Source organism: Homo sapiens, chromosome 11 (assembly GCF_000001405.40).
Source record: "Homo sapiens chromosome 11, GRCh38.p14 Primary Assembly".
Taxonomy (NCBI): Eukaryota; Metazoa; Chordata; class Mammalia; order Primates; family Hominidae; genus Homo; species Homo sapiens.
In genome coordinates, this window is record NC_000011.10 from 134,459,216 (window position 1) to 134,478,035 (window position 18,820).

An 18,820-nucleotide genomic window follows, 5' to 3' on the forward strand; every position below is an offset into this window, starting at 1 on the left:
AGTCAGCTGGTGCTGGGTGAACATGGAAGCACAGAGTGTGTGCTTCTTTCCTCTGACCACAGCTACCTTGTTCTTGGAAAGGTCCTGTTTTATAAGCAGGGACATGGAGGCATGGGGAAGTCGCGCAGCTCCCACCATTGCCCTGGGCTTGGCAGCAGTGAGACATGGCCAGCAGCCACCCTGCACTCTGGCCTGAATGCCCAGCTTGTGCAGATGTGCAGCGGTAGTGCAGGGTCAGTGCCCTCTCATGGCCCCCTCGCAGGAGGCTGCTTGCTGAGTGGTGCCAGCTCAGCCAAGTGTTCTCTGCATCTTTGCTCAGGCTCTTCTTTCTCAGAGGGCTGGAGGAGGTGGATGATGCAGAGAGCTTCCCTGTGGCTCCCGGCCCTCCTCAGGGCCTGCCCGGGCAGGGAGGTGACAGCAGTCCCTGACAGATCCCACCCTTCTCCCACACAAAGCGGGCCAGGGGTGAGGAAAGGGGTCCCTCCAGCCCTTACCTCTGAGTACTTGCCCTGCAGAGCTGCTGCTGTTATCTGTCAAGGCTGATTTCTCTGAGGTGACAGCTTTGACTTCAGATCTCCTTCTTTAATTGAGTCTTTGTCACTCCATTGATGGTAATTTACACATCCAATAACTATTGCTAATGTGGGATGGAGGTGTAGGGATGTTGGCTGGGGCGAGGGAGCTGCTGAGGCTGAGACCTGATGGGAGGAGCCTTGGAGGCTGGGCTGCTGCAGGCTGTGCTGCCCCAGGCTCAGGCTAGGGTGCTGCACGGTTCTGTCTCTCATTTGCCAAACATTTTCTGAGCTCAAACTCAGTGTAAGGAGGGCGAGGATATAAGAATGAATGATAGAAGGTCCTTGTTTTCGAGGACTTTCCAGTCTCATGAGAGAAAGAGACATACACAAATAGCTAGATTGGAGACTGCATAGGTGGTCAGTCACAGGCGCGTCTGCACGCTGGGTTCTGGGAGCCGAACAGCCACCTGCAATTCAACTATATTCAATTTAATTGAACCATCTGTTTTGGGCACCTATTTCTGGGTGAGCCCAGTGGAGTGATGGGCTGGGGGTGGGGAGGAACAAAGGCACAAAGACTGATGCTGCTTTCCTCCCTGCTCTCTCTTGCTCTCTGTCTCCCCACCCCCGGCTCATTCTCATCACTCTCTCTCCGTCTTCCCTCCTGCTCTCTATCTGTGGCATGCACTCTACTCTCAGCTCTGTGCTTGTCTCTGGGGCCAGAATGGTGAGCTGAGACATTGTCTGTCCTTGTGGAACTTACTGAAGTGTGTGGGAGACACAACCATTCATCAAATAAGCACCCGTAAATGTAATGGGGAGCTGTGCTCAGGAGGGACTCAGGGAGCTCTGAGCATGACCCACGGGACCCAGGCTCATCTGTGGGCCTCAGGGAGCTGGGCATGCACCACAGAACTGTGGAGCAACTGAAGACCTATTATTTCTTATTGCAGATATAAATATTATATTTATACATTGGTATATATATACTTTATATATATTTGTATAAATTAAGTTGTAACCTACAGAATAGGCCTTCTGGCAATGAGAATGTATCTGCTCAAAAAGCTGAACAGCCATGGAAAATGGAAATTCACTCTCTGAGATTTTACATATTCAAAGGAGTCCGGAAAAATACTGAACAAAAACATGAATGAATATTTGTATAATCTTTGGTGGCTAAGGCCTTCCAGAAGCACGAAGGAAGATAGATCATTCTGATCACATAAAATTGTAAAGCTTTAGAAAACCACAAACAAAGATGGAAGACCACTGAGAACCTGGAAGCCTTCTGCCTCACACATGGCATGCTGGTGGTGATGCCAGGCTGGTGAGGGCTGCACAGTTTGTCTTCGAGTTAGAACATGACAGCCCACCCACACCAGCTGGCAGACAGCTGCCTGTCTGAGTCTCCCAAGGCTGTGGACCCTGCCACTGACTTCCCTGGGACCAGCTCTACCTTTTCCCACATTCAGGAATTTATAGATTAATGTCTGCTGTGGTTTGAGTGTGTCCCCCAAGGTTCATGTGTCGGAAACTTAATCCTCAATGCACACTTTTGAGGGATGGGATCTTTAAGAGGTAATTAGGTCATGAGGGCTCAGTCTTCATGAATGGATTAATGCCATCATCTTGGGAGTGGGTTAGTTATCCTGGGAGTCAGTTACTATCTCAGGAGTGGGTTAGTTATCCTGGGAGTGAGTTACTTGTCTCAGGAGTGAGTTAACTATTCTGGAAGTGAGTGAGTTATCCTGGGAGTGAGTTACTATCTCAGGAGTGGGTTAGTTATCTTGGGAGTGAGTTACTTACTTCAGGAGTGGGTTAGTTATCCTGGGAGTGAGTTACTTGTCTCAGGAGTGAGTTAGTTATCCTGGGAGTGAGTTACTCACCTCTGGAGTGGGTTAGTTATCCTGGGAGTGAGTTTACTTATCTCAGGAGTAGGTTAGTTATCCTGGGAGTGAGTTACTCATGTTGAGAGTGGGTTACTTATTGTGGGAGTCAGTTACTCACCTTGGAATTGGGTTAGTTATGATGGGAGTCAGTTACTTATCTTGGGAGTGGGTTAGTTATTGTGGGAGTGAGTTACTCATCTTGGGAATGGGTTAGTTATCACGGGAGTCAGTTACTTATCTTGGGAGTGAGTTAGTTACTGTGGGAGTTAGTTACTCACCTTGGGAGTGAGTGAGTTATTGTGGGAGTCAGTTACTTATCTTGAGAGTGAGTTAGTTATTGTGGGAGTCAGTTACTCATCTTGGGAGTGGGTTAGTTATCATGGGATTGGGCTCCTGAGGAAAGGATGAGTTCAGTCCCCCTTCTCTGTCTCTTGCTCTCTTGCACTCTCTTGTCCTTCCACCTTCCACCATGGGATGACACAGCAAGAGGGTGCTTGCCAGATGAGGTCCTCTCGACCTTGGACTTCCCATCCCCCAGCACTGTAAGAAATGAATCTCTGTTCTTTATCAATGACCTAGACTGTGGTATTCCATTGCAGCAGCACAATACAGACTCAGACAGTGACTTCAGGATGCTGCTCCAGTGCTGCAGCTGATTTCCATCCTAATGGGTTGATGTCCATGCCACATAATTGTCAAAACACCTTGACTTTCACCCTATCCTTAACATAGTATTATTGAATACTTACTATGTGCCAGGCACAGGCTTATGGATGTTGGACTCGCTAACACATATAATGCTCACAACTCTAAGAAGGAGATATCATTACCATAATTACTATCCAAGATTACAAATGAACAAACAGAGACATGGAGAGCTCAACTCTTGCCTGGGCTTATGCAGATTTAAAAACATGACAGGAGGTTGAACCTGGACAGTCTGACTTTGAGCTCATGCTCAACCACTGAACATCACTTCTTCTTCCAAATCAGTAAGAAAAGAACAAGAACAACCCAAAAGAGAAAAATGGGTGAAGGGTTTGAACAGGTAATTTGCACACACAAACATACAAAAGAGATACAAATGTATAATTAGGCTATGCAAAGATACTCATCCTCACTAGAAATTAAAAAAATGCAAATACCAACAATAATAAGATATTTTCTCTTATTGTATTGAAAAAAATTTTAAATGGACAAAACCCAGTGTTAGAGGTGTTGTGAGGATTTGGACAATCTTAAGTGCTATTAGGGAGAGTTGTCATATCATTTTGGGGGCAGTTTGGTACTATGTATTAAATATAAAAGTGTTTACTCTCTGAATCAATGAGTCCACTTCCAGGTTTATCATAAGTAGAAAATTACAGCGGTATAAAGAGATGCATACTCAAGGATGTTCATTAAAGTATCATTTATAATTGTAAAACAATGGGAACATTGAAAATGCCTATCAATAGTGAATTGGTAGAGCAAATTATTGGAGATCCTTACAATAAAACACTAACCCTTAAAGATAGTGATGAAAATGAAGAGACTTGAATGCCATTTTTCATGAAACAGAATAATAGAACGGCATGTATAGTATCCTATAGCCTGGACAGTATCCTACAATGCCCATTGTATAGTAGGGTATATCAATGTCTATATGTGAAAGGGAGTATTCTGAAAGGGAGGTCACTAAAAAGTAAGTGGTAAGTGTCTTCAGGTCTGAGAGAGTTTTTTTTTTCTCTTTTTTGGGGGGATTTCACATGTTTGAATTTTTACATGGAAAATATGTCATTTTTATAAAAAGAGTAAATATATTTAGTTAAAAATAAACTACCTGTACGATATCAGCTGTGGCATCTCACTGAGTCTCCTGGAAGGCTTTGCGTTTCTTTAGAGCAGCTTTTTCACACTGCAGGTTAAAACCCATGACTGCTTGTGAAATCAGTTTGGTAGGTTATAGACAGCATTAAGAAACAAAAAAAAATGTATAAAATTGAGCATTACCTTGTGAAATAATAATAATTTGATAAATACGTCTGTAAGTCCCATTTGTGAGGTAAAATGCTATCCTTTTCTAGGGCCAGGAGCCCTGCTTTGGAGTTTGCTAAAGATGTCCTTCTGAGCAGCCAGGTTCCCAGGGTACACTGAGGAGCCCCTCCACCCCTTGAAGTAAGGAACACAGGGGCCCGCAGGGATGCTGGCTTTCTCCTCATGGCTTACGGCGTCCACACTGGCACTCACATCTCGCTCTTTCTCCTTTCTTTTATCCAGGGCATTGGATGAGCTGTGCTTGTTGAAACTGTAGGATAGAAACACAGCTTTCCATGCCCACCAGCTTGCTGAGGGCCGTGCTGCTGGCACCACAGAGCCACACCCTTGTGAATGTTTGAGGAGAATGTGCAGGGCCCCCTTGTGAGGTTCTGTGGAGGATTCTTTAGTGCTTCCTCTGGACTGAATTTAACATTATGTTGATAATGATTCAAAAGAAGGGTATAGACAGGGAGACCATGTATAGCAATAAGACTAATGACACTACTCATAAAACACTTTATAACTCAAATGCAATATGACCACTGGAAAACGTTTTATTAATTATGTTTTTATTTTCTGTATTTTATGATGCCCTTGAGGACCCAGAGAGAGACTGCCTCTCCCAGGGTTTGCTCATTCCTGGAGATCACCAGCAACTTGCCTGCCAGCAGGTCTTTGATATGCAAACCCACCAGGCTGGAGCGCCCGTGATCAGGATCCTGCAGTCTGGGACACTATCTCCCTGCCCTAATCATCTCAGGGCCAGGTGCCGGGCAGCTAGAGACTGCCCGTGTAACCAGAGCCTTCTGGAATCCCAAACTACCCAGGCCTGAGCCTGCCCAGCCCTCCCCCTGCCTCCCCATTCCTTTTCACCACTCCCAAGGATTTTGCCCAAGTTCTCCTCTCGTCCCCACCCCTGACTGACCTGGTGCTTCTCCACATGGCCCTGAGCGGGGTGGTATGGACTGCCCCTCCTCTTGGGAACTGTAACAAACTATCTTTTCAAAGACAAGCGTCTCCTGATCTGTTGGCCTTGTCGTGTCCAATTAAAATAAATCCTGGGTACATTTTAAAATCAGGGTCAGTCACCTCCAAGCTTTCAAAATTCCCAGATTATTCAGAAATATGAACAGCAGGCTCAAGTCACTGAGGATTTACATCCTCATTTTGCTAACAGATTTAAGACCACAGAGAACTTATTCTGTGAGCAGAGGGGCCACCTGGAGGGTGAATGGCATTTAAAACACACCATAATAAAGTCCTGGGATGGGATAGTCATGGCCTTAATGTTTCCTATGAGAGTTAAGAGGTCTGGATGAAGATGCTCTTCTGTGCTGCCTATTTGCAAGAGCGCTCATTTGTGGCCCCGAATGCAAGGTGAGAATCACCTCTGCCTGGGATGAGTTGGGAATGGAAGCGACACCCTCTAGATAATCATTTCTCACAGGCCTCTTGCTGAAGGTGCTCGGCCTCCCGATGCCCTTTCCTATCACAATGAGCACATACCTGGAGCTATGTCATGCATGGGCTGTGTGTACTCTTTCACGGAAAAGCTTCTCATCTTCCTTGCCAAAGGATGGTGTAAAAACTTTCAGGCCAGTTCACACCAGGGAGAGTCTATGCTGGACGCATTCATGCTGCTAGAACAATTCGACAACAGGAAATTGTCAGCTGATTTCTTAAGCTCCCGGGAGCTTACGAGGGGAGTCCAGGATCCCTCCTTCTGGATTCAAGCACTATACCAATTCACTTACAAAAGAGAAATGCTCTAGGAGAACAGGAGTTATGTACTGAAACATCACAGCAAACAAGGTAGTCAGCGCTTTCCCATGTCTGTGGGCTGGTCCTAGTGGCCCTTAGGAGGAGATGCTTGGTGGATTCCGTAAGTGCCCTGTGAAGCTCTCCTGTTTCCAGGCATGGCATGCTGGATCTGCTGGGGCAGGAGGGGTGGGTGGAGTGGAGACCATATGACACTGTATATGCCTATGCCTAACAATAGAACTTCTCTAGACCCTGATTTCCTGAATTTTGGGAGAAGCCATATTTCAATTACGTCTCAATGATAGGTGAAGTAGGGTGGTTGTAGGGAAAAACACATGTTGAGAATTGTCCCAGCAAAAAACAACCCCTGACCTGCCCTCCCAGTGTCAGGCCTGCATTCTCTCTGCTCCGTAACTGCCCACATGTATGGGGGGCTTACCAAGTGCTTAGTTCCACCCATGTGTCGCCTCTTCAGTCCTTACAGTGACTGTGTCAGGGTTATTATTACAGCTTATTAGCATGGAGCCTTACCCAGAGGTTGAAGAACTTATCTGAAGTAAGCGCAGTGAGAGTAGGGTATGGATTTGAGCCTGGTATGTGCCACACTGAAGCTCACACTCATAACCCAAACCACATTGCCCCAGTGGCCCCATATCCAGCCAAAATTCACCACGGGTTCCTTCTACACAGTGAGCGGGAGGGTCAAATTAAAAGATTTGTTACAGTTTGTTACAGTTCCCTTCTGGAAGCAATTCAGTTTCAAGCATGTTTTCCTCTCCGCAGAGGCAGCCATGACTGGCCACTTCATGTGCTCCTGGAGAAGGGCTTGCACCAGCCGTTTTCAGGAAAGTCAAGCAGCTGTTGACTCCTGAGTCTGGGTGAATTTGTGTGAAGAGCATAAGGCGCTGTTTCTTAACCAAAACGCTTCCTCTTGCAGTGCAGATGGGATGTGCTTCTCCACAGGAGGCCCCACGGCTTCCCCACCCCTCAGAGGAGCGCCGTGCGTGCGTCTGTGTGGAGGATTGGCAGCTCCTGCAGTCGGCCCTTGGTCCTATTTGGCGACGCCTCTGCCTTCCCCTTAATTATACAGTCATGAGCCGCCCTGGAATCACGGCAGCTCCGGATGGATCCTGGATGCCAGAATGCAGCCTCAGCACGGGGCTGCAGGACAGGAGTGAGCGAGGGGCTGCAGAGCCGGCGGCCGCGGTGGGCACCATGGAGGGGGCTGCCCTGGGCAGCACGGGCATGAGTCTCAAGGCCCAGGTTTGAGTAACAGGTGTTGAGAGCTTACTTACTTTTCCTGAGACACAGTTTCCTCATCTCGAGAGCACGGAAAATCATTCTAACTTCAGAGGATTGTTGTGAAAGTTAAATGAGATTAAAGAGGTAAAGCCCATGACGTGCTTAGCTCGTGCTTGGCTCTTGGTCAATGCCAGTTAGCGCTGCATTTTCTCCCCTCTCCCTCCCTCCTTCTCTCTTTCTTTTCTTCTATTCTCCATTCCTGTTTTCTCCCCCACCCCACTCCCCAAAGCTCTGCGTTGAGAACCAGATGCTGTCTGGTGGGTTAGGGCCAGAGGAGGAAAAGCTGCCCGCCGTGGGCTGCACCCATACCCTCTTCATTCCAATGACATGAGGGGAGGGGAAAGGACAGAGGTAGACTGTCCTCCCCTACCTCCTCCTAATACAAATGGAATTCCTGGAACTGGAAAACAAAGAATACCCCCATAAAAATAAGACAGTACTTCTGGTGCGGTGTAATAAAGGGGAAAGTAACCCTCAATGTCAGGAAACTCCGCACCTCCCAGCTCATATTTGTGTGGAGGAAAAGTTAAATATTAATTTGGACTCAACTGAATGTGGACACAAACAATGGTCACCAAGTCCCGGAACAGGTTGTGTGAGCCTCTTCAGGGGTTCATCCAGCGCTGTTTTGGAGAAATCTCTATTTCAATTTATTCCTATACGTTAGTTACTGAAAAACAACAGACAATCGCAAAAGCAAGTTGCCCGTTTTGTGTTCCTTGAGCCCAATCATGAAGTGCCGTCGTGACTGGGCCTCATGACAAACAACTTGTAACAAGTAACAACAGAGCTCAGGTCCCAGACCGCACTGAAGCTCTGTGAGACCTCTCCTCATCTGTGCATGAACGAGTGTCTGACTCTGGAGCCCAGCCTGCTGCTTCCCAGTCTGGTGGTGAATCCTCCGTAGTCTGGTGAGTGTAAATATATATATGTCTTTTCCCTTCTCCCCTTCCCATTGCAATTTGCTTATATCATTTGCGTATTATATCTGCATTACCATTTATGTGAGATAAAGCTTGTTCACCCTTAAGGGTATTGTGTGTGTGTCTTTTCTTCTCTCCTAGTGCATTTTCCTCACAGAACAATTTGAAACCAGAGGTCCTTACTGCTGCTGGCTTACTCTTTCCAAATATTAATTTCCTTTTTTCTTTTTTCTTGAGATGGAGGTTTGCTCTTGTTGCCCAGGCTGGAGTGCAATGGCACAATCTCGGCTCACTGCAGCCCCTGCCTCCCAGGCTCAAGCAATTCTTACGCCTCAGCCTCCTGAGTAGATGGAACTACAGGTGAGCACCACCATGCCTGGCTAATATTTCGTATGTTTATTTTTTAGAGACGGAGCCTCACTATGTTGGTCAGGCTGGTCTCAAACTCCTGACCTCAAGCCATTTGCCTGCTTTGGCCTCCCAAAGTGCTGAGATTACAGGCATGAGCCACTGTGCCCTGCCTTCAAGCAATAATTTTCTATTATGAATAAAATTGATGAGCTTCGCCAGTTTCTGGTGCCCATAAAGTTGTTGCTTTTCATTACCAAGGTTAACAGCCTGCTGGTGATGCGGCCTCTGGCAGAGAGCCTACAGGGAGTGGGACTGGGCAGATGCTGCTCGCTGGGGCAGAGGGGAGGTGAGGAGGAGGTGCTCACAGCTGACCTGCATGCCTCTGCCTGGCCCTGGGACCCCAAACTCCTGCTCCTTTCTCCTCGCATTCTGCCAAGCTCCCCCTGTGTTTGACCTCCGGCTTGAAACTTCCTTCTCTGATGACTCCTGAGCAGGCAGTGTGAGCCCCAGCAGTATCCTCCTAGCACCTGAGCACAGAGTCTGTGCCTGAGCAGAGTGTGACAAAGGAGGCGACCGGGTGATGCAGCACAGTGCAGCGGGCTTGGGGCCGGGAAGGTTTTCTGAAAGGTGTGATAGTTAAGCGTCTAGGCTGGGAACTGCAGGATGAGTAGGAGTTAGTCCAGTGAGATGGAGTGGGGGTGAGGAGGAAACCTTCATGCAGGGGGTGTGCAGCTGCACACGCCTTGTTCTGAGCCCAGGAAGAGCACGGTGTTGAGGTGCTGAGCACTGGGGGACAAGCTGGAGGGGGCACAGGGGCATCTGTGACCTTCTCCGGGCCTTGGGACAGATTGCTGCAGAACTAGGGCCTCCTCCATGTCTCTTTTGCGTCTTTTCTCACAGGACATCCCTCTAGGCAGGGGATTGGCAAACCAGGCCCTGCTGGCCAAAGCCAGCCTGTTGCCTTTTTGGTAAATAAAGTTTTGTTGGAATACAGCCATGTTCTTTCATTTACACATTGCCCATGGCTGCTTTTATGCTGTGATGGCAACATTGAACACCTGCAACAGAACCCGTATGGCCTGCAAAGCAAGAATGTTTACTATAAGGCTCTTTACAGAAAAAGCAGGTTGATCCTGCTCTAACCTCTGCCTGCTGCTTGCAGCAAACCTTCCTCATCTGGGCCTCAAATATTTCTGTCCTTTATTCTGGTGCTTTGAGTCTATCTGTAGCTCAGGGTAAGGTGTTGAGAATTAGTAAGATTACAAACTGCAAAAGCAAAGGTTTGGCTGTTAGAATACTTATGTTTCGATCTTGGCTTGACCTAGTCATTAGTGATTATATAATAATAATAATGCTACTAGTAATAGTAGTAAATGCAGGAATAGTTTCTATTTATCCAGCAATTATTATGTGACAAGTTTGGAGCTGGACTTTTAAAATATATTATGTCATTTAAATTCTCACAAAGAAGTCTTGGATATAGTTTTTTTTTTATCCCCATTTTGCAGATGCTAAAATTGACACCAAAAGCGTAGGTGATGAGCTTGAATCAGGTAAGAATTATATTCTACTTCCAGCTAAAGAAGAGGATATAGAAGATCAATAGCTTAAACAAAACAGAAGGTTTGTTTCTCACCCTTCCTGTAATAGAAATCTGGCAATGAGCAAACATGGTAGTATTTATATTCTGAGTTCTTGTCACATTATTTTCATTTTCAGGTCTTCTCATGGACTAAAACAGTGACAGTGAGTGCAACTCTACCTATCATGTTCATATTCTAGGTAGAAACTGGGGAAAAGAGAAAAGGCGGGAAAAAGGCGTTTCTCTACAAAGATCACACATAATCTTCTGTCTGCATCTCATTGGTCGGCATTTAGTCACATGGCCATAACTACCAGCAAGGGAAGCTGGGAAATGTAGTTTTTCAATGGCACATTGCTACCCTTAATAAAATAAGGATATGCTACCAACAAAGAATGAATATGGGAAAGGCCCCTAGCAATGTCTGCTGCATCTGCCACTGTGGTTTTCTCTGATTTCCACAGACATTGCTCTTCCACATAGAGCGCATTCTGATTCCCAAGCCACCACTCCCAAATCACACCCAGTTTCTGCATCTAGCTTGTGTGTGGGCAGTCTGCTCCATCAGTCCCAGATGTGGCTTCTCATGGCTGGTGACCTATGAACTAAAAGACAGGCCATTTTTTTCCCAACCTACCCTACCTTTTCTCCTTGAGAGGAAAGATAAAATAACCACAATTTAAAAATGTCAATCTTCCATTCAGAAAAGGGAGGAAAGAGAAACACAGAGATCACTGGTTTACAGTGATGGACCCACCCTGCTAGGCAGGAGTGAAAAGGCCTCTCCGTCCGGCAGTGGACTGGGTTCCTTGGCTGGCCCATGTGGTCCCCACCCACTGTCTCCAGGAGCATCGCCTTGAACTGTGTCTTCATGGCTTTTGGCTCCGCCTTCAGAAGGGTCCTCCCTGTCAATCATCCTCCATTGCCACCTCTGATGTGGGCACTAGGGAGCTGGTCCTTCCCAGAGGATGCATGATTTTGACACCGTGCAGTGTGGGATGTTGGACCAGGGAATCCAGCATATTTTCGGGCTTTTGTAGTCTCAGACTGGGCCTGAGATTTCTTTAGAAATATATTAACGGTTCCTTCAACACTCCAATGGGCATATAGCCTATTTACTTCTGATCATTGTAATGTGCAAATAACCACAGCCCCATTTCTTTGTGTCCAGATGCAGTTTTTAGGCTTGAATATTCATCTGTTTTACTCACTGGCCTCTGTCACTGAGTCTGTCCCCTTAGCTATTAAATTAATGGTGACTATGATAACACTTTTCACCCGATCCTTGCTAGTGCATTGACTTGCGTTGTCTGCATCGAGTTCTTAAAAGATGCTTGGTAAAGTCTTGGGTCACAGTTTTAACTTCTGCTGGGGTTCCTGCTCCACAGCCCTCATTTAGAACTGTTTCACTTTGGCTATTGTTTAGCTTTGGGCCATATTTGGCTGTTTTTTAGCTTTGTAAAAATGCTCATTTAACGGACACAAGGCCTGGGTTAGAAAATGTAGTATTTCCTTCCCCCTCTGTTTGCGTAGGAGCTAGCGCTAGTGGAAGCCCATCTCTCCCTTGCAGGATTTTGTGGAAAGTGACGAAAATAACTCAAACCACATCAGTGTTCTGCTTGATTTCCACCATTCTTGGATGCTATAACTTCAGAAAGCACATGATCTAACTTCCCAAGGGACAGCAGGGCCTCGACCAAATGCCGTTGTGCTGAGGGCTGCCGGCCGCCCCGCTAGGCTGCTGCACCCTCCCCGCGCTGCCCCACACCTTGCACAGAGCTCAGGCAGCATTCTAGCACCATCAGACAAATTCTTCATGAGTCAGAAATCGCACCTGTCTCTTAATAGCGATCTGGCCTCAGGTGGCTGAAACACACAGGGTTGAAATGCTGCGGTGCCTGCGCTCATTGTGCGGTGAAGCCATAGAGTCCGCGCTGAAACCCGGGGCGCCCGCCTCCTGTCCGCGCAGGCGCTGCACGCTGTCGCCGGGGCAGCTTCACTCAGCTTCAGCCTCTCCATCTGCAGAGGAGGAGTAATCCCGTGCTGCCTCATGGGGCCGTTTCAAGAAGGAAATGAGATGTGGTATAAAGTGTTAGAGGAGTATTTAGTGTTATTATTAATGTGTTTTCTCATCTGGGAACATGATTTGCATTTTAAGCAGAACTTCAACATTTGGACTCAAAGGAGTGATGTGGATGGGGAGAATTTCAGGCATCGTGCAGGCTGGCATTAGAAATGCTCACCGGAAATGGAGCACAGGCAGCAACTTCAGCCCCTAGAATTCTTCCTCCTATGTCACTTCCGTCCCTCAAACCCTTTCTGCAGCCCCTGTCCTCTCTCCTGCAATGGCAGTGAGCAGGTGGTCTCCTGGTGTCTCTGGAAAATTCCCATATGGAGTCCTGGTTGAGATGAGCCAGAAGGCTAGGAAGGAGCCTACAGTCCCGGTCTCAGCGCCCAGGAGGTTTTTCTAATGGAGTTGGCATGCAGAAGCTGGGGCATACCCTGGGAGCAGCCCTGTGGCTGGATGAGGGATGGACAGCAGCACTGGGCGGGTGGAGCCGGGTGCGAGGTCCCCACAGCCTGCCTCCCAGTCCCACTGGCCAGCCCGGGGAGGGTGCTGAAGACAGGCTTCCTCTCTGGTCAAGCTCTGGCTAGCTTGGCAAGTGCAGGCAGGACCCTGGACCTGCCATATGGTGCACATTTTGAGGACATCATTAGCAGGTTTGGAAGGTTGTGATTCTGGTTGTGGGAGAGAAGGAACCTGGGAGTTGAGCAGGTGGTGGGTGGAGCTATGCATGCAACTGAGTGTGAGGAGTGCTTTGGCCATGCTAGGGTCTCCTCTGGGCTGGAAGCCTTGTCTTCAAGAGGGTTGGGGTAGGAGGCTTTTTATTATAGTGGGAAGCCTCAAGCCTGGACCTGGGAAAACACTTTCTGGGTATGAGGAATTAAAATAAACCTTGAAGCACTATTTAGGAAGAACATAGTATCACTTCATAGATATTTTCCCCCCTAAATGGTTACAAAGTAAAATGGCAGAGGTACAAAGAGGAAAATGAAAACCACCCAATCCCTTCCCTGAGCGATGGCCCTGTTATCCTTGGGCTCTGTGGCCATCTGACCTCTCTCTGGGGACAGAAGTACATGAGGAGAGGGGCCACTTCATAAGACGGAGATGCTCTCTTCCTGTTCCCTGCCTCTGCATCGTGCTGGGGATGTCTGTCCTCATCAACTAAGAGACCCATGTAGACCGCAGCTCTGAGATCTTCTATTTTTGTAAACAGAACAGTTTGTAGGGAGATGTGAGATGTTAGGTGGTGCTGGAGAGCCTGGGCTTTGTCTGTTTGGACAAGGCTCCATCAAGGCATCCTTTGTCCGACGGTGAGGCATCTTGAGGGCTCTGGACCCAGAGCTGGTCCTGCAAGAGTCCTGTCTGAGAGCCCAGGCCCCACTCCACTAGGAGGGACAGGAGGGAACAGAGCAGAGCTGAGTCCCTTCACCTACCCAAACCCATACATGTTTCTAGAGCAGAGTAACTGCTTGTGAAACAGACCATCAGAGCACAGGGCAGCACCGAGCTGCGTTCTGCAGGGCTCGGTCTAGGTGATCTGGAGGGCTTGGGGAGCTGGCTTCTCCCCTCATCCAGCATGTAGCTACCCACAGCCACCTGCATTTCACAGGGCCAGTGCCTAGGGACATTGGGCCAGAAGCCAGAATTTCTTTTTTCTTTTTTTTTTTCCCCTCTAGCATTCACTACTAGCGCAAGCTAGTGCATCCCAAAGTTTTGGCCCTGCGTGGATAATCAATCCACAATTTATCTTCCGTCTGTTGCCAAAGTAATTTAGCTAAAATGCAGATCTCAACTGGTCACTTCCCTGCGTAAAAGCTTCAATAGCTTTCTATCGCCTACAGGCAAAAGTCCCTCTTCTGAAAAGCGGCTTGCAAAGCCCTAGTAGCTGGCTCCATGCCCCCCAGCAATACGTGGCCTCCTCAGACGCATCTTCTAGCAAAGGAGAGCTGCTCAGTGACATCCACAAACCGAGCTGCTTCTCACCTACCTGTTTTCCTTCTCTTTGGGATGCCCCCCGCCCTCACCTTCTGCTTCTGGCTAACTCCTAGGCATCCTTGAAGGCTTGGCTCAGTATCCTCTCCTCCAGGAAGCTGTCCCTCACCTTCTCTCCTTTCCCTCCATCCCAGTCACCATGCACCACACCCATATCCCCATTGCATCCTGCAGCTACCTTGTGCCTGCACACGTTGGGCTGGGCATGCATCTCCTTCTCTCTCAAGACCTGGATCCCTTCACTTTGTGTCTCTGGACCCCCCAGTGTGCTGATAATGGGGTTGGAACCCATCATATTTCTCTTGAACGAGTTAATGATGGGACTGCTATTTCTCTAACTGTTGCCTTGGAGGCCCTGTCACGTGCTCATGGAAGAGAGCCAGGGGGGTGGAGGTGATTCTTGTTACCCAGAGGACGTGGGGTCTGGATACACGTTTCTGCCATCTGCCATCTGCCAGCTTCTTTCTGGTTGGTAGCTTTGGAGCCTGGTGCAGCTGGGGCCAGTCCCGAGCCTGGACTCTGCTGGGCAGTGGCAAGAGCACTGTCTGGAGCTCTCCTGAGGAGCCCACAGATCCAACTCCCTAGGCCAAGGCTGCAGCCTGGGGCAGAGATGCAGAGGCCTGGAGGAGCCTAGGGCACGCGGCCTGCGGGCTGGCTGGGGTTCAGAGTTCGTATGTGTGTGGAGTGACTGGGCAGGTGTTCAGAAATGAAGGCTGGCACTGCCAGGTAAGGCCCTTCCCTCCCTGATGTGAGAGCCCTGGAGCCACCGCAGAGGCCCAGTCAGATCTCTGTTCTAATTCTGGCCTGGTGTGGAGGATGAGGAGAGACGGCCCAGAAAGGAAGGCAGACTGTGCAGACCCCATGTCTTCTGGCCCGCGAGGCCCTCCTCCTGTGCCTGCTTATCTTAAAGAATCCGGGATAAGAGGTGACTTGGGCCTTGGCCGGGAGGCCCCTCCTCAGCTTCAGACAAGGAGGGAGCTCTGGGCATGAGGACATTGAGCAAGAGGCGATGGCAGTGCCCACAACTTACCCTCAGCTCGGCTCTGTTGGGTCCGAGAAGTTGCATGGAAAGGGCTCCTTGGGGGCCAGTTGTCAGTAAGCTGCAGAAGCCTGGAGCCGGCCAGGAAATAACCACGTGTAGGAGCCTTCTCAGCTGAGAGGAAGGAGGACTCACGCGCGGCGAGCACATGCTTGGAGCCAGGCACAGGTTTGAACTAAGCTATTTCATCTCGATTCTTATGACAAGCTCCACGTAGTTTGCTCCTATTTTACAGATGTGGAAGCTGAGGCTCAGAGAGGTTAAGCGACTTGTCCCAAATCGCATTGTCAATCAGTGAAGGGGCTGGGATTTGAGCTAGTCACCTGCCTCTAGGTTCAGTGTGCTTTCTACTCTGCTCCCCTCCATGCCTGCCCGACCCTTTGCTGATGACACATTCCTGAGACCTCAAAGGAGTCCTACTTTGAATCATGAATGGCCTCGCGTTTCCCCAGAGGGCATGACGCAAGCTTCGCCACCTCACTCCCACCCTCACCACTGGCTGGTTGCTCTTAGGAAGATGCTGTTTACAGGATCACGCAGTGGTTCAGGCCACCACGATGCCACTTCCCCTGCTCTTAACCCCCCACCAAACTGCAGGTGGCTTCCCTGGGAGACTCGGGGCAACACCCTCTCGTCCTGTATGAAGCTTGTACCTTTCTCCACCCAAGTGAGTGACAGCTGGCGGGAGTTTTGCACTGTGGAACAGGGTACACAAAGACACTGGAGTGAGAAGGCAGGGGCATGGCCAGTCTATGTCTAGGAGGTGGTGGCTCCACCTTCCTTGTGGACTCAGCTTTGGAGTCATGCAGGCTGCTCTCTGGGCACTCCTGTGAGCCATTTCTTCTGCTGATAGGGAGGAACGTCCCACTGCCCCAAGATGGGTTCTGTGCAGAGTCTCCCCAGGGTCAAGACAGGAGCTAGAATGTATGTCATAGAAGGATGATCTAAATGGTGACTTCTGGCTGGTGAGGAGAGGCTATGGCACCTCCACGGCTGGTGGCCTCTTGCTGAAGTAAGCATGGTCAGCATCCCCCCTGCACCCTGTGGAGGTGGCTTAATGCATTCCCTTGACTGCAAAGGACTCCTTGCCAAAGAGACCTTCTTCCCCATGAGGCTGAGGCCTCCTAGGACCCTCAGTGCTCAGGAAATTATAACCAGCCACCCCCATCTCCATTCATTGGAGAAGGAGTGACGGCCGCCTCAGTGCCATTAACTCTGTGCTGTGATTAAATGGATCCCAAGGAGACTCCTGCTCAGGGACACCCCCTGTAGGACTGATGCCAGGGCTAGGCTTGCCGCACAGTGCTCTATTCCTTTGGTTATGCACCTTCCTTGGCAGAATCCACGCTTACCAAGAGGAGTCACTCTGAGCTGCTTGCTGCCAGTCACATGCTTAGCAGTAGAAGATATCTTGTGCTTGTCAGGTGACTGTGAGTGAGAGGGAAGGGGGCCCAGCGTGAAGCCAGGTGGGACGGCTTCTGCGGGGCAAGACACCCCACTGGAGGAGGCAGGGGCGCGCTGTGCAGGCCTCAGCACCAGCTCTGGCTGCTGTGGTGGGATCTCAGATCAGTCACTTTGCCTTTTTGGCCTCAGTTTTCTCATCTGTACATCATGGATTTGGGATTAAAGGATTTCTGAAGATTTTACTCATTCTGAGATTATGGTCCCTGGAAACCTTTAGGGAAAAGGGAGCTTCTTCTCTTCATTATTTTAACATACTTGATCTTTTATGTTCTTTGGTAGGGAGAGATGATAGGTAGTTAGAGAAGAAGCAGCTCAGTGAAAAAGCTGAAAGCCTTGTGGAAAAATAAGTTAAATTGACCCACTGTGACTCCAGGGACCTGGGGAGACTTTGATGTCCGTGTTTTTGATTACACATCTCTTCTCTCAGAGTGAAGATGCGCAGTTCTAAGGAATTATGCCCAATGGCAGAATTGGCAAGGGACAGGGAACTGTCCAGCAGAGAAGCTGCTGAAACCCTTCAGGGAACATTCCATTCCGCCAGGGCCCGGCTCTCACGCTCTGCTCTGCAGCGCATCCGGTGCCAAGGAGGGGAGTAGCGAACGTTGACCTTGTCCCTAAGGAGCTTACACGCAGGGAGGTCAGCACAGACACTGGAATATCTAGGACTCTGCTATCGAAAAACACAATTGCTGGCACATGGGTTCAGAAGACAGAGAAGGAAAAGAGCTGTAAAGAGTTGGGTGGGCTGAGGTTTGAAATGGGCTTTAATTATGACTGGACACAATTTGGTGACAAATGGGTGAAATTTCAAGCAGAAGAGGTAGCATGAGCAAAAAGGGGTGTGCAGTCTTTGTGAAGAGAAGGGGGAGGGAGTGGCAAGGGAATAGGACAGAGAGGAGGAGGAGGGAGAGGAAGCCAGAGATAAGGAGCCAGGGGGGGAAGAAAAGGGCAGAAACGAATGTGAAGGAGATTCTGAAGACAAGCCACTGTGGTGGTCCAGGTGGTTCCATGGTGCCGCGCCAAGCCAGGGGCTTGGAATTTAGTCTGGGAGGATGGTGCTGAGTATGGATGAGGAAGGAGAGGAATGGAGAGGGGAGAAACGGGAAGGTACTTCACACTGATTAAGCAAGCTCCTCACAGGGCTATGACTTCTCCCTTCTCAGAAGGAGGTGCCCTGTGGCATGCCTCTAGGCCCAGAGTTAAAGAGCTGGAGCCATTAGGAGCAGCAAGGGGCTGCCTCCCCACTTGTCTGGTTACTTCTGGTTACTTCTCCCTCAGGGTAAGTCCTCATGAGGGATCATCTCTGCCCATGGAGCTGCTTCCGCTGCCCTTAGGCTGGTGTAAGAGGAAGGCTGTGTACCAGAGGTAGATCTTGCTCCTAGTCCACCAGCAAAACACATCCAGTTATTTCTATGCCTCAGTCTCCCTTCCCCACACTGATCTCTTTATTCCCCTACTACCTAGAAATGGAAGGGAGACAATGAGGTGGGAAATAGAGTTTTTCGAAAGGTGTTTTTTGGATAAGACAAAGGCCTCTCAGAGCAGAGCTGGCCATTGGAATGGTTTCCTTTTGTTATTTAATACCGGGGCTTTCACACAGGAGTTTAGCCCAGCTTTTAAGTCTTCAGTATCAAATAGTAGTTGGTGTCACATCCCTGCTGAAATACAGCCATGAAAATGTTTCTTAGTGATAGATTTAGGTTGTACTCCTTAAGAAAAGCCCAAATGTCAAGAATTGCTTCCCACTGGTACACTTTATTGGGGAGAAGGGCATCTCAAATAGAAGGATGGTTGGTCTGTCTAGAAATGGTAAGAATACTACAGGTTAAAGGCAGTGGTGGTCTGGACTAAATGACCCCTGAAACTCGGATTTTATGGTGTTTTCAATCTCTGGCTGAGTACAGGTTCCTCC

General features: G+C 48.8%; 1 long non-coding RNA gene across 1 annotated transcript in view, besides 4 other annotated features; it reads left to right on the top strand.

Annotated features, from left to right (window-relative positions):
* The window catches only part of B3GAT1-DT (B3GAT1 divergent transcript), a 69,180-nt gene that overhangs the window by 22,734 nt on the left and 27,626 nt on the right, over positions 1–18,820 (top strand). Inside the window, exons 2-3 of the long non-coding RNA NR_033852.1 lie at positions 7,125–8,400; positions 8,650–8,772. This is a non-coding gene — a long non-coding RNA (B3GAT1 divergent transcript). The remainder of the gene's footprint in view (positions 1–7,124; positions 8,401–8,649; positions 8,773–18,820) is intronic.
* Positions 6,783–7,348: an enhancer, noted in NCBI's record as "H3K4me1 hESC enhancer chr11:134335892-134336457 (GRCh37/hg19 assembly coordinates)". NCBI's record gives its function as "activates a minimal SCP1, AML or CMV promoter by ChIP-STARR-seq in naive H9 embryonic stem cells {active_cell/tissue: H9 hESC(naive)}" and the evidence as "EXISTENCE:reporter gene assay evidence [ECO:0000049][PMID:30033119]".
* Positions 7,349–7,913: an enhancer, noted in NCBI's record as "H3K4me1 hESC enhancer chr11:134336458-134337022 (GRCh37/hg19 assembly coordinates)". NCBI's record gives its function as "activates a minimal SCP1, AML or CMV promoter by ChIP-STARR-seq in naive H9 embryonic stem cells {active_cell/tissue: H9 hESC(naive)}" and the evidence as "EXISTENCE:reporter gene assay evidence [ECO:0000049][PMID:30033119]".
* Positions 14,521–15,220: an enhancer, noted in NCBI's record as "H3K4me1 hESC enhancer chr11:134343630-134344329 (GRCh37/hg19 assembly coordinates)". NCBI's record gives its function as "activates a minimal SCP1, AML or CMV promoter by ChIP-STARR-seq in naive H9 embryonic stem cells {active_cell/tissue: H9 hESC(naive)}" and the evidence as "EXISTENCE:reporter gene assay evidence [ECO:0000049][PMID:30033119]".
* Positions 17,306–17,506: a silencer, noted in NCBI's record as "peak1527 fragment used in MPRA reporter construct". NCBI's record gives its function as "represses an SCP1 promoter by STARR-seq MPRAs in K562 erythroleukemia cells {active_cell/tissue: K562}" and the evidence as "EXISTENCE:reporter gene assay evidence [ECO:0000049][PMID:32103011]".